The sequence below is a fragment of the Homo sapiens genome, chromosome 8 (assembly GCF_000001405.40).
Source record: "Homo sapiens chromosome 8, GRCh38.p14 Primary Assembly".
NCBI lineage: Eukaryota > Metazoa > Chordata > Mammalia > Primates > Hominidae > Homo > Homo sapiens.
The window spans coordinates 128656307-128672493 of NC_000008.11; positions in this window are offsets into that span (position 1 = coordinate 128656307).

Consider the following 16187-nt stretch of genomic DNA (forward strand, 5'->3'; position numbering starts at 1 on the left):
AAAGTACCGCAAGGAAGGAAAGTGGGAGTGGTAAGCCCTGCCAGACCATCTTCAGAACACGGTTGTGATGACCCTAAGAGGTAAGAATAAGAGGATGGCTGGGCTAGGAAAGGCTTTGTGGACTGTGAGCTGTGGCACAGGAATGGGCCAAGACAGGGAGTTTCTGTCTCAGTGTTCTAAGCATCTCTCTGGCCATGACATCCCAGGATGCAATTGGCCAGCACTATACTCTGAGTTCTTCTCCAGGCTTAAATCCTCAAATGCCTCCAGTTACTGACAGGTGTCACAAATTTGTGAGCCATGACAGGTGTAAGACAAAGGGAGCAAGTTGCTCAGATTGATAGCAGTTGGCCTTACTTAGCTACATTCTCTTTCAAATACCTTGGTTCCCAAAGAAAACAGAAAAACACAAAAGGGACCCATAGGCCTCCCATCGGTGATCTCTTGCAAGGCATTCTCTCTCCCTATAGTCCCGTCTCTAAAGCCATGCCTTCCTATATCTCTGCCAAACAAATCTATGTGATCATGACTGCCACATAGGGAAATGCAAGGGAATAGGCTTTGGAGTATGGCAGGCCTGGATTCAGAGCACTTATAAACCATATAACATTATTCAATGTCTCTGAGTTTGGTTTTCTTCATATTAACTCCCACTTTGAAGAGTTGCTGAGGTTTACTAAAATATACATGATATGATAGACAAGATATCTCACTTGCACATAGTAAGAAGTCAATAAACAAATAATAGCTCTCATAACAGTTACTTCCAATTCTATTATTTCTACTTCAGTGGAAGGAACAGGTAGTGTGATTGAGACTTTGGATACTAATGGGGAACATTATGTAGCCTCTGGGTTAGACTATACATGTTGCACTCACCAATTGTCTGGACCATCAACACATTCAAGGGTACAAGATGCACAGTGTTTGTATCCTGTCTGGCAGCACAATACTCCCCAGACTCCATAATGATCTGGAAATGCCACCATTCATATCTGCCCTCCTGACACCAAGATATGCAATCATTTCTTTGATTAGAGACGCTGGCCTCTGTAAGGCCCCTCTGAAATCACATAGACTTGACATTTTTAGTACTCACCCTTACATTAGAACAAAAGAATTTGGCTGATATCCAGGATGAGCTGATTTTGCTGAAAGTGGAGGTGGGGAAGGAGAAAGGGGAAGACCCCAGTAAGGTGTAAATGACAAAGAGAGGATGTGGTCACTGAATTTCAGGGGCAGTTTTCACCAAGAAGAGCATGACAGAGGAGTGCAGGTGATCCTTCCTGTGGAAACAAGGTAGTTCTCTGTGGTGAGTCACCTATCTGGGGTTCCCCCAAATCATAAATGGAGCCCGTGAGCCCTTGAACACAGAGACTGTATGCAACTAGGAGCCCTGAGACCTGTATCTTGGCCTTGCTGCTGCCACTTGCTCATTTGCTGTGAGATCTCATGCCAGATAGTCCCTCTTGGAGCCCATTCGCCCATTTGTCCATTAGAATGAGTATGTGTGTTTGGGAAGGAGTTATTTACATCTATGATTCTTTCCTAATGTGATTCTGCACTGATAGAAGAGGAACTTAAAGTGAGACTGAGAGAGGTAGCAGTAAGGCGTCTAGCAAAGACTTAATAAATCTTAGTTATTGGTATCTTGATCACCATTGTAGTTGCTGTCCCTATCATCATGATTGTCTTCTTTAATCATTACAAGGAAGTAGACAAAAAACAGTAAACAATCAGTTAGTCAACATTGTGCTTGGCAGGAAGAACACAAAGCTGAACAAAACACACTCCCTGTTCCAGAAGCACCTGTAGTCTAGACAGGGAAGCAATTAAGAAAATAAACCACAGCACTAGAGCCTACTGTGAATATAGAGTGGGAATTAGAAAGCAAAGGGAAGTCCAAGTGCTGAGCTCAGTACAGGGCAAAAGGGAAGTGAGAGGCTGCCTGCCAGGAGACCCTAGGTGGCCACACCCCTGCTCTGCTTCCTTTAGGCCTTCACCTGGGCCCAGCTGGACCAGGTGGTGGAGGTGGGGAAGGCATGGACCTTTTCCTTCTTCTTACTGATTCCTCCATGTAAATTTACATCTTCTCTTGAGAAATAAGTTTCTAGTGATGCCATTTAAATAAAGGGATTAAGACATATTCTAAGGAAAAAAATCTGTGAGAATTTAGTAAGATTTTAAAATTCCTAAAAATTTCCTAATTTCCGATTTTCATTTTTTGTCTACTTCTTTATAATGATTAAAGAAGACAATGATGATGATGGTAATGACAGTAATTATAATGATGGTGACACTAATACTAATAACTAAAATGTATTAAGTCCTTACTATGTGCCATGAACCTTGCATGCATTTTGTGACACATTAGTCCTATTTTTGTTCTAATTTTACAAATGAAAAAATTGAGACAAAGAATTGGCTAAAATCGCACAGTTTTACAACAGGAGGAACCCTATTTGAACCCAGATATGTTTGATTTCAGAGTCTGAGATCTTCACCGCTCTGCCTGCCCTGTGCAATTTCATGGTCTTACACTTTTGGTTTGGTGTCCTGGCCTTCAAGAGATGCAGAAAAGAGGTAGCTGGAGAGGCAGAGCTCCACTCTAACAAAGAGGCCCCTTACGGAGAAGTTGAGAGTGGCAGCTATGAAAAAGAGAGCAAACAAGCCAAACCTCTGGGATCAGCAAGGGGAAAGTAATGCATTTCTTGAGAGGGGAGCTGTGACTAAGTGGCCCAGGGAAGGAGAATTCATCTGGCTGCTGTTGGACAGAGCGTGCAAGAGTTGCTAATAAAATGAAAGTGATCTAGATAAGTACTTCTCATGCACTGGGCTGGCTCATCCTCCCAGAAGGGCAAAGAGGGAAAAGTAAATTCCTGCTTTGGAATTTGGAACAATTCCTGCTTTGGAACAATTCCTGCTAGTGACTGCAACATACTTTTCAAGGACTCCAATATATATTCAGTGTTTTGTGCCTCCACTTCTCCTTTGGAGGCATCTTCTAACCACATCTACCCTCTATAGAGGTGTAGCCACCTATTCAGGTGGCTATTTAAAAACAAACAAACAAACAAAAAAAAACAGCTAATCACTTTTAGTAGCTGCCAATGTTGAAAATTGCAAAACATCTTTCCCGTCTCACTGATTTTGCAGCTGTAGGTGAGTTTGCATTGTAGACTCAATGTGGAAGGAGACTCCTTTTAGCTCAGCTCAAGTAAAAAAGTAGCCTTGTAATCTCCTTCCCGCTGTCTGGTCCTGTGCTACATCTTCTCTCAGTACATTGCACAAGAAACATCATCATGGCCTCCATTTTATGATATCTCCCCTGAAAATTTGCTTAATAAGTTTCCCGCCAGAAAATGAGGGTTATGTAGAACTTAAAGGTGATTGAAACAGAAAGTTTAGGGCTCTTTAGAGGCCGTGTGTGTGTGTGTGTGTGTGTGTGTGTGTGTGTGTGTGTGTGTGTGTGTGTGTGTGTGTTAAGGCTATAGAGCTATATATAGCTGCTGCTTTTAAGTTCCCATCTACAGTGAAACACAGCTTCCGGCTTTCTCTGAAAAAGGGGCTCGAGCTTGCAAACAGGCCCAGTCACTGAGAAATACCTACATCCAGATTAGAATTGGTTGCATTTTTTTAAACCATAGGCAAAACTAATCTTATGTGGGGAAAATGTAATCCTTTCCCCTCTGTTACTTCTCCTGCTTAACCCTCAATCCCCTCCATCCCTGCAGTCATATAAAGGTGTTCCGGAGTGTTACCTATTAGGATGAAAAGAGAATTCGTATCTGGCCTTTAGCTCTTGTTAAGTGGTTTTCTAATGTTGAGCACCCATATTTTCACTGGTTTTAAATAAACACTTACAGAGTGAAGCACACTGGACTTGAAGAAAGAAGAGAGAACATTCACATTCCAGCATCATACTGGAGTTTGGGGATGTTGGTCAAGTTACTTTTGTTTCCACATCTGTACATGTCATGGGAAAATTTAAAAAGATATATAGAAGTGTTAACAGTAAGTAACTGGTTAGTAAGGACTTGGAGTTAGTTGAACGTCCACAAAATTTATTCTAGATCTTATGCACTGGGTGCTGAGCAAATATTGTTGCAAACACCAAAGTCACACTTTTAATGTATTTTTTTGTTAGAAGTGTAATTTTCATGAGTGGCAAATAAGCTCGTAAAAATACCTGAAACTTTTATTGAGGTATATGTGTATATATACTATTGGTGATGTTAACTTTGATCACTTGGTTAAGGTATGTTCACCAGGTTTCTCCACTGTAAAGTTACCATTTTTCCATTTGCAATTATTAAATAATTTGTGGAGAACGCATCACCCAAAATGAGATGAACTGTCATGATGTGACTTCTAAGATGCACTGATATCACTTTAGTGGTGTTCCCACCCAAAATGCTTAAAATAAATCTAATCATTAGTAAATATCAGACAAAACCCAAACTGAGGAGCTGTCTACAAAATTTGTGATTAGTATTCTTCAAAAGTGTTCATGTCATGAAAGACAGTAAGCCTGAGGAACCATCCCCCAATAAGAAGACTAAGAGATACAACATCAGAATATAACATATGATCCTGAATTAGGTCCTGGACCAGGAAAAATTGCCATAAAATATTTTATTAGGAAAATTGTTGAAATTTGGGTTAATTAAAAATGTCCCAATGTTTTACTGATTGTCATAATTGTACTATAAAATGGAAGTGAATGCTCTTGTTCTTAAAAATACCCAATGAGAGTTGAACAATGGGAACACATGGACACAGGGAGGGGAACATCACACACCAGGGCCTGTCAGGGGGTGGGGGGCTAGGGGAGGGATAGCATTAGGAGAAATACCTAATGTAGATGACGGGTTGATGGGTGCAGCAAACCACCATGGCAGGTGTATACCTATGTAACAAACCTGCATGTTCTGCACATGTATCCCTGAACTTAAAGTATATATATAAAAAAAGCAATCACCAAGTTTAATCAAATAAAAAATATTCTCTTAATTAAAAATTACCCACTGACGTATTTAGGGATAAAGGGGCAAGACATCTGCCTTATACTATCACCTGTTTCAGGAAAAGAAAAAAGAAATATAAGTATATATATGAGAGAAAGCAGGAGAAGGATAAAAACAAATGTGGAAAACTTTTAATAACTGGTGAATTTGGATGAAGGGTATACAGAATTTTGTGTGTGTGTGCGTGTGTGTGTAATTCTTTGAGATTATTTCAAAATTTAACAAAATGAAACAATCAAATTAGAAATCAATACTTCAGAAGAGAAAAGCAGCTTAACTGCAAGCTCAAATTGCTACATTTCTCAAGAACTCAAAGGAATTGAGCATGGCGTTCCTGAATTTTGTTGGCTGAGATTGTGATTTTATCGTCATGATAATTCCCCCAGGGAATATATAATTATAGCTTCTCCATCACAGATGGTGACTGAGGTGGGGTAGGAATCCAGAGAAAATCTAAGCACTTATTTGAGCTCTTTTCCAAAAAGTTTTGAAAAAAGTTACCTAACAAGACACCGTCAAGCTGATAAAAATTTATTGAGCACCTAATATGTTTCAGTTCTGCCTAGGTTCTGAAACACAGGCTTGGATAACGTCTTGCCTCATCACTCAAGGAGTTTACAGATTAGATGGGGAGGCAGTCATGTTATAAACAGTGATAGTCCAGAGGGCAGGGACTGTAGTAGAGATAGACCTAATATGCTATTAAGGAAGAAGAAAACAGGAAAATAGTCTTCATAAGGAGATAACGTTAATGTATGACTAGAATTGTTGCAGATGGAAAGGGGCCTTTCAGACAGAGAAAAACATGGTAGCCTAAACAATCACAGTATACTTGCATGAAGTAAACTACTTGATGTTGATGGAATCTACACTATGCAGTGAAGTGAAAAGAAATGCAGAAAAACTCTTATTTTTAAAGAGTTGTTTCTTCCATGCTAGAGAGTCTATGCTGATTTCAGTATTCCTCTTTATGACCAGTACCCGATCTGAGTATCTCCCAAGCCCTCCAGCTGATGGTCGTCATTCACCATTTTCCTTTAATGTTCAAATGAAGAGAGATTCAAGCAGCCACCTGCATACATTGAAAATCCCGGCCGGGCGCGGTGGCTCACGCCTGTAATCCCAGCACTTTGGGAGGCCGAGGCGGGCAGATCATGAGGTCAGGAGATCGTAGACCATCCTGGCTAACACGGTGAAACCCCGTCTCTACTTTAAAAAAAAAAAAAAAAAATATATATATATATATATATATATATATATATATATATATATATATATATACACACACACACACACAAAAATTAGCCAGGCTTGGTGGCGGGCGCCTGTAGTCCCAGCTACTCCAGAGGCTGAGGCAGGAGAATGGCGTGTACCCGGGAGGCAGAGCTTGCAGTGAGCCGAGATCGCGCCACGCACTCCAGCCTGGGCGGCAGAGCAGGACTCCGTCTCAAAAAATAATTTTTTTTTTTTAAACTGTGCTTGGATTTCTGTTGAGGAAGGGCGCACGTTTCCCCCAGTCTTCCCTTATTCCATGTTTCTCTTCTGGATTCTAGCTCTCACTCTTTGTGGCTTTTGTTTTTCTACCTTGGGTCAACCCAAATCTGGAAGCTAGTCTTTTAACTACTTTGATTCAAGCTTCAGGCTTCAGAGAGAAAAGGAAGTTGTTTGTTTTTTGTTTGTTTGTTTCTTTTTGGAGGTACTATGCAGTAAGCCACTGAAAATTGCTAATGAAGTCTCAGTTTTCCAGACAACTACAGACTCACTCTTGAAAGTTAACTTTTCACTGGCTGGGGTCTTCTCCGTGGCTGTCTCGTCTGCCATACTGACCAGGCACTCACTGTCTTTTTACATTCCTCGTGTTCTCCCAGATTTTTTGAATCTCTCTCTACCTCTATTTTGGGCCTCATCTAAAAAACAAAACAAAACAAAAACTTAAATATTTTATATGTTAATATACAGAGCAATTTATTTTTCACTAAAACTTACAGGTCTGCCAATATGTAAAAGGTTATTATGGTTTTCTCTTAAACAAAGGGCCATCTATTTGGGCCTTTGTTGGGTTCTCAACTTTGAGCAACCAAAGAATTGATAGAAGCTTTGAAACTACAATCTTCTTTTAAAACTACTCACTATGTGGGTATAGCTTCACATATGTTTGTAAGGAAGGCAGCCATGTAAAGACATCCTCCCACTGATGTACATTATTTTACCCTATGGAAGGCAAATGTGGTTATCATTAGTTGTTTATTAAAAAGAGTAATTATTTTTATTTTCATTACATTTTCACTTCTGGAGAGAAGGGCTTTTATGAGGGGAAGTACATGGGCATTGGAGTCAGATAAATTTGAATTTTTACCCTGACTCTCTCTAATGAGTTGTTGGACCTTGTGCAAAATATTCACCAGCTCAGGGGCCCAGTTTTGTCATCTGTAAAATGGAAGCAGAAATACCTATGATTGTTGTAAATATGGGAGATCATGAATTTTAAAATACCTGCTTAGTACAGAATGGGTATTTGATAAATTGTACTTACTATTAAGTCTAATTAGTTTCAAGGGACATAAATATAGCAACTTGTAAAAGTGCTAATGATGTATCAGACACTGTGTCAGTATTATAATAATGTATAATAATGTACATTATTTTATTTTCTGGGTAATAACATAGGATAGCTATTATGTCCTTATTTCATAGCTGAAGAACCTGAGCCATAGAGTAGTTAAGATAATAGGAAACAAAAACACAAATATGAAATCATCTGACCAGTCTAATAGTAATTGATCATTATGGAAAGTATCCTTCTTAGTAAATGATGCTAGCTACCCAGTTTCTTAAGCTAGAACACTAGGTCTTCTGGATTTCTCTATTTTCCTCATGCTGCAACATGGATGCATCAGAAACTTCACTTCCCAAATACATCTGAATTCATCCACTGCTTTCAACCTCCACTGCTATCCCCATAGTCAAAGTCACCTTTCACTTGGGTTTCTGCAATAAAACTTCTAACAAGGCTCCCTGCTTTTCCTTTTATTCTCTACAACCTAATTTTCTCCATAGGAGTCAAAGCTACTTTGGCCTTGTCGTTCTTGTATCCAGAACCTTCCAATGACTTCTCAATATATGCATAAAACACACGTACTGATTTCATTCTATGTGTAGACTGTAAGGCCACAACCCATAACCCGGATGTGCTCTGGACTCTATTTGCCTTGCTTGCTGCATCTTGTGCCTTTCTCTCTGTTGCTTTGTCTCAGCCTTGCAGAAATTTCATCCCTGATTCTAACATTTCCATTTATTTCCCACTGTACGGCCTTTGCAGCAGCTGTTACCTCAGGCAGGAATGACTATTCCCCACGTTTTTCAAGACTCGGTGCTCATGACATTCAAGTTCTAGCTGAAATGATGCTGCTGCACTTAATTTAATGGAAGAAATAGATTTAAAGTATTCTGAAAATTTAAATTTACAGATGGGTTTTGCAAAGACAAAGTCCATGTGAATAAGTACGTGAAAGATGCTTCTCATACACAAATGTATTGTCTTTAACCACTCCACTGAATGCCTAAAGTCAAACATGAAATCTCCACGCTTGAGGATACATATTCTAGAGGTTGTCCTTCCCTGTTGAGTTTGAAAAACCTTCTGAAAGTCTATAGACACATAGCTCGGCTCTCCTTAAATGGTTCAATTTTAGGGCATGTAATACTTCCCAAGACAGCCCATTTCATCTCTGGATAAGAGAGCAAACTACATTATAACTCCGAGAAAAATTACACCATTATTATTGATAAGATAAGAGTTACTGATGCTACAGAGAAGAGTTGGCATACTACCATCTGAAGAACAAATTCTGCCCACCACTTATTGGTTTTTATATTTTTTTAATTGTTGAAAACAAAATCAAAACAAAAATAATATTCTATGACACTTGAAAATTATAACGAAACTTAATGAGGTAATGAATTATGAATTTTTATTGGAACACAGACACATCCATTTGTTCACACACCACCTATGGCTGCTTTCTCTACAATGGCAGAGTTCAATAGTTGCAATAGGGACCATATGACCTGCTACTGGCCCTTTACAGAAAAATATTTATAGACCACTGTGGTGGAGAATGCAAAATTGAAAATTACCACTTTTGAGTCTAGCTTTCAAGATACTACATAATCTGCAAAAATCCTCATATTGTAATTTTTTGACTTATGGTTCTTCAATCTTTCTGCATGTCTCTTTAAAGAGAATTTATGGCTGTATGTAAGTGTGTATCCATAATTATAAAGTGTACTGTTTGTCCATGTATGTGTGTTTATGCCATAACAAGAACTCTGCCTATGTAGATTTATACTGATTAATTAAATTAAATGGAAAATGCTTTCATTTTAGATGTACATGTATGGTTATATTATTGATGATCAAGCTTGAATAAAATCTTTAACTATAACATGAAAGATTAAACTATTAAAAACATCTTATCTTGTAATAGATAATTAGATGCTCTTTTTTTGTGGTACTTGCGGTTGCATGTTCATTTTTTAAGATAATTTCTTAAGTAAATAAGCTTGTGTATGGCCTGTTGTCCTCCTGAGCATTACCTCATATGTTACTTTTATTCTTATAATGCTAGGTTTTTTTACACTCCGAGAAGTAAAAATAATTTCAGTTCTGTGTTAACTTTAACAGGTCATTTGAATCATACATTTATTTATACTTGTGTGGTCCTCTTTATTAAGATAACAGCTTTGTCAAATGTCAGATAATCCTTCCAAGGATAGGGCAAGTTTCATATTTCAGTAAGCCTCCAGTGGAAAGCCCATTTAGTTCTGTGAAATGACTCAGAGGCTGACTTGTTTTGTAAAGAAATACAGATCTACTACCTCAATATGTGTGGGAATAAGAATCAATGATTTGCACATTCCATCACAGGGACGTGTTCTTATGAGTAAGAAAGGAAGGAGGCAGGGAAGTGTGGTGGAAAGAGTACCAGGCAAGAAGGATGTTTGCTTCACTCCTGTTTGACTACTAACCAGCATTAGGATCTTGTCAAAATTACTTAACTTCTTAGTCTTAAATGTCCCTGCTTTGAAAATTAAGGTATTAGTTCATTCTTTCACTTTTATACATTTTAAAGCAGCAAATTCTTTGATGAAATATAATCTCTAGTGCAAACCAAAAAATGAAACCAATGGGAGTAGAGTTGACATAATTGCAGTCAGAGACCACTGGACCTTCATGTAACCCCTGGCAGTAGCTCTAGAAGCTCTTCTTTAAGCTGAGCGCTTGGCAGAACAGCCTAATAACTGCAGGATTGTTTACAAAGTAGCCCTTTTCTGCTAAAAATAACCTGCGACTCTGTGAATAAGTTGCCCCAGGCATTGTTTGTATATGCATTAAAGCATTGGATTTGCTGAAAAATAATGTATTCTCTTAAATGATCTAGCATTTCTATTCCAGTAATATTTTTCTTACTTATATACTAGGCAAATCTTGTGGACAGAGATACAGGTTGAGTCATCTCAACCTTATGCACTGACAATGGGAATCACCATAGAGCAGTGATTCCCAAGCAAATATAATGTATTTGGGTTGTGTGGCTTTGTATTTTTATACTTGTCTTTATTAAACTTGAATTCTATGAGAAGGATTTGTATCTCAATCATCTTCTCTAATCAGTGCCTAGTCCCATGCTTAGCAATAGAAAATGTCCTGAAATTGTTCAGTAAATCAATATACGAATGAGTGGTTCTAAACTTGTATAGATTGTCACACGAATACATGAAATGGGAGGCGTTATCTAGGAAATATGGAAATAAAACTTATCCACTGGATAATTGAGGGTTAAAATCATCCAGCAGTGTCACAAGCTGAAAGATCCCTGGGCCAGAAATCTCATTCTTGCATTAACTTCACTTGTCACCTTGGGTGCCCATCTATAAATCTCAGTCCCAGAGAGACTAACCATGCAATCTCTGAATTTTATCCCAATGGTGAGATTCCATGAGGCTAAGATTAAATTGACTCAGAAAATGATCCCATTAAAGTTTTTCTCATGAATTATTTAGGTGATTGCTGTAAATCTCTAGTTCCTGGGTCCCTCCATCTACAAACTCTGTGGCTTTCCCAAGCTCAGCAACTCAAGGGCCATGGAGAAGCATCAACTCCTTCCTCTGCACCACCCAACAGGGCTTCCATCTTGATATGTGTACCTGAATTTTCTGTTCTGGACCCCACAAAATGTTAACGATGACAACTGTGATTTCATGCCACTGGAGGCTGTATGCCTGGCATAATGTGAAAGAGGAATCGCAGAGCTGGAGAACTATAGAAACTTCTGGAATTGTATCAAAGGAAGTATGCTAAATAGGTGAGAGCAATCAATGTTGTTTGGAGACAGGCAATGAAGCCTGCTGTTCCTAATGTAATAGTATCATTAATTTTACACCATACTCCATGTGGGGAAAGAAATGTATTTTTTTATTTGTGTATAGCTCATCTAAGATTGATTCTGAGCCTCAAATGTACTGGGTAGAAAGAAAAAACTTGCGGATCTCAGTACCTCAGTTTTTATAATACTAATAAAATCCAAACAGTTTAAAAGAATATTTAAGAGGTAAACTATCAATATTTCACATTTTCATCCACTCCCCTTCCTTCTCCCCAGGGTGGCATCTAGGAGTATCCGAAAGCTTTCTCTGTTCTTCTCAGGAAAGGCGGGGGCTTTAGATGTGTGTATGGGTACTTGTTTCACCCTCTAGTCCTTGCTAGGTTTGACAGAGATAGCGCTTCTTTCCCAGCTAGTAAATATTTGCCTGGATTACATTCACTTCAGAACAAATATTCCGGTATATTTTATTATTCTTGGTCAGAATCTCAGCTGAATTTAAATCCCAGCTGAAACATTTGCTAGTTATGCCGTCTTGATGAAGTCATTTGTCCTGTCTTCAGCTTTTTTCTTCTGTAAAATGGATATTGTTTCCAGAGTTCAATGAGATAATACATATTCAGTGTTTGACATGTATTAAGCACTAAATAAATGTTAACTGCTACTATTATTATTATTATTAAAATTGTGTACTAGGCATAGAAAATGGCAAATTTAGAAGCACAGTGGGATAGAACTGTTTGTTGGCACCATTATTAATTCTCGTTTAGGGTCTAAGTTTGCTAGTCTCAAGATTGATGTCAAACACAATAGGCTGCATGACCTGTTATAAATTTTGAGTATCTCCAAATACTAAGCATATGAGAAGATCATCTGCCTAGTATGCTTCTCAAGCTTTTCTAACCTCAGGCTTTAAAACCAGTAACAGACAGTTATTGATAAGCAATCAAGTCAATATATTTTTTAGAAACTCAAGAAGGAAGGCACTTTCATCTTTACTCTGTCTGGCTTTCAATCATTTCCTTATAGATATTGAGGCCTGCCACTAATTTCACAGCATTCAAGTATGAGAAAAGATCATTCAAATAGTGACTGTTAAAAGAAACCCTAAAAAGGCTTCTGGCTGTTGGGCCATTGTACTTTCTAAATCAATCATATTTAATGTGTATCTATCTGCATTGGTGGTTTCATTGGCCAATAAGTGTGTATTCCCTTACCAGGGCTCTGCAGACCTTCAGCTCACTTAGTCATTCTGCTCACAAAGATATCACATATTTAGTTTCGAAAGATTTTGGCCTTTACTCTGATTAGACCTCCACTCACACAGTTCTTCAATTTCCTGTGAGTATTTCATGCACCCAGCAGTCACTACACTAATAATAACTTTAATCTTTCAACAAACATTTAGTAGCATCTACAGCATAGACAGGCTTTGTGTCATGAGTTGAGAATACATACCCTAGGAAACAAAACTATTGAGACTCACATTGATGATGGGGGGCATAGACAATTATGATACTATGGTGGAGTTTAGAAGTTGAAAGGGGTCTTGGAGGTCATTTGGTTCCAAAGGTGGTGGGAAAATGTACCCATATAGCAGCTGGATTATTCCCTTTTATCTGTTGTACTAGTTTTCTGCATTTCTCACCACCTTTAAAGGGGTTTCTGTGTATGTTTTTCCATTTTCTCATCTCCCACTCCATCCTGGCTTCTACTCCCATCACTTCTTGGCAATGACTGTCCAGAAGAATCCAGTGATGTTCAGGCCACCAATTCCATGCAGACTTTGCACTCATCCTCTTTACTGGACCTATGAGCAATGCTGACCACTATATTTTTGAGATGGAACTCTTTTAAATTGCCTGAGACACTGTTCTCCTGTTTGAACCTAAACCTTTGGTCGCTGCTTGTCAGAGCCGTTCCCAGTTGTCGTTTTTCTACTTTATAAACAGACCTCCAGGAACTCTGAGTTCCTCACCACTATTTTGTCACCTTAGTCTAGAGCTTCTCCCTAGATCATATTTTCTCTGCCTAAGGTTTCATTAATACCTCAAAGGCTATGGCTTTCCAGGCTCTAGATATGTGCCTGCTTATCCAATCACTGACTTGACATTTTTATCTGGATGTTTCACAGGTAAATGCAACCTAGTACATCCCAAACTGACCTCATAATTTCCCCCCCAAATATGCTACATCTCTAGTGCTTATCTTAATAAGTGACATCTCCAACATCCCATTGGTTTATGGCTATTACCTTAGTCATCCTGGACATCTCCTTTGTCCTCAGATGCATATCCAATTCATACTTAAATCTTCAGAGTGCTTCTTCTAAATATTTTCTAAAATTCAATCACATATTTACATCTTCATTGCTGTGACCCTAATGCAGGCTACCACATCTTTTCCATGGAGTCTCCAGAATCTTTTCATCCAGTCTTCACCCATCTTCTTTTGCCCTTCTTCTTCCTATTCTATCAAGAGTGATTTATTAAATATTCTTTTGACCCTGTGCCTACCTTGCCCTTAAACAACTTCCTATTATTCTTAGGACATTGACCAGCTTTACTATGGCTTAGGAGTTGTTACATGATCTTGTCTTTTTGTATTACCCCAGCCTAACCTCATGCCACCTCTCTCCTTCCTCATGTCCTCTCGGTCACCCGGATCCTCATTCTCATAGTACCCAAAACTGATTCTCATTTCGCTATTCCATCTGCCATTCTTCCTTTCCAGCTAACTCTTACTCGTCCCTCATGTCTTGTTCTAATTATTATTTCCTCAGTGAGCCTTCTCCAAACACTCCGATCAAGTTAGGTCTCTTTCATGCCCTCTCATTTCAGATATATTTATTGCAATTACAATCATATGGTGATTTGTTGCTCTATTTATATTCTCTTTCTCTAGTAGACTGTAAAAACCATAAAACAGAGGCCCTACTGCATTACTAAGTTTTCTGTCTTCATCACCAGTGCCATCTAAAGGTATCTGTTGAATTAAAAAACAAGTCAGCCATATAGCTTCTGCTTAAATGCTTTAAGCTTCTACCAGGAAACTTGGCATTTTTCCTCAGTCACTTCACCTCCGTGTAACTCTGTAATGTGGGGTAAATAAGGCCCATCAAATGGTTTTGTTGTGAAGAGTAAATATATTTTGCATCTATTAATATGTGAAATTCTTCAGGAACACATACACAAAGTATGTTAGATGAATGAACAGAAGTATTAAAATGGACATGGGGAAAACTTGGATTTGTCATTTTGGAATACTCTACATGTCATTTTCTAAAAGGAGAACCATGGTAACAAAGTAAGCAACCTCAGCATCCAGCCTGGAAGAAACTGGGAGAGCTTTTATGGATTAACTTTAACATGTTTCTACTTGGAGAGCAGTACCACTTACTAGTGATGTGCCCTAGGGAAGAGCACGGCTGGTTTCCAAACCTTCTTCCCAGGATGAATGCGTCAGGTTCACAAAAGAGTTCCGCGGTCCAGAAATAGAATGGAATATTGAGCCTATGAGGTAACGTCCCCAGGGTCTTAGCACTTTTGTTCACTGTCACAGCATTAACCTAGAAAGGTGAAATATGTCTTCAATTTCACCTTTATTTAATTAATTGATCTAAAATAATTTTTCTTCTCAGGGGCCGTGACGAGGACCCAAAGAAGACCGCTAGATTAGGCAAAAGTCAGCACATGTGGCTTCTTCCTCGCACCCCCACAGAAAAGAGGGCCAGGTGCCTTTCTAGGAAATACAATTTTCTGAATTGTTCTTTTGTCATGTATTACTAAATGGTGCCAATAGCCACACATAATTTGAAGAAGGAAGGTTATAAATAACCACTCATTTACCTACTACCTACCTAAAAATAAATTGATAAGAATTATCCCTTCCTCCTACCAATTCTGTGTCTCCTTCCCTCCCTTCCTTCCTCTTTACAATGTATTGACTTTATACATGAATGCATAAACACACATCCTACTCACCACTCTCCAGTTTCACCCTGATCCACTAAGCGGATCATTCTATTTGAGTTTTATGGTAAAGAAAAGTAATAGTCAGTATAGCACAGGACTTGTGAGGTGAGGCCTTTGACTCAGAGAGACCTCTTTTGAACCTCAAGACATTTTAAAATAATGTGATCTTGGACAAATTGCTTGAACAATTCAGGACCCAGTTCTTCCTCAATACAATGAATATAAATAACAACATCTCTGTTGTAAGATATGTTCCATTTCATCACATAAAGCACTTAGTATAATATTTGACACACAATAAGTGCTGAGTAAATATTAACTATTTATTTTCTGTGTATTCTGCTTTTAATAGTGCAACAGCAGTAATTGATAATTTCCTAGCAGGCAAAGAAATTTAAATTCTTTAAGCAGTCATTTATTCTAGAATTCTGTCTCCTCAGTATTTTCCCTCTCTGTCCAAAAAGTCACAGAGCCTCAGAAATGGAAACAGACAAAACAAACTCTACGTCTAACAGGTGTCCATAGAAGCATCCAGGAAAAGCCCGAATTACAAAGGGGAGCCAGGCCTAGCAGAGATGGGGCTTGTTTCATCAACATTTTTCTAACTCTGAGGTTTGAGCACTCTGCTTTTAGCTGTATTCTGGCAGAAAAGCATTATTGAACACCTACCATATATAAGGTCTTATCATGGGTTTAATGTATCCTCCCAAAATTCATATGTTAAAGACCTAGCTCCTAGTGTGTCAGCATGTGACCTTATTTGGAAACAGGGCCATTGCACACATAATTAGTTAAGATGAGGT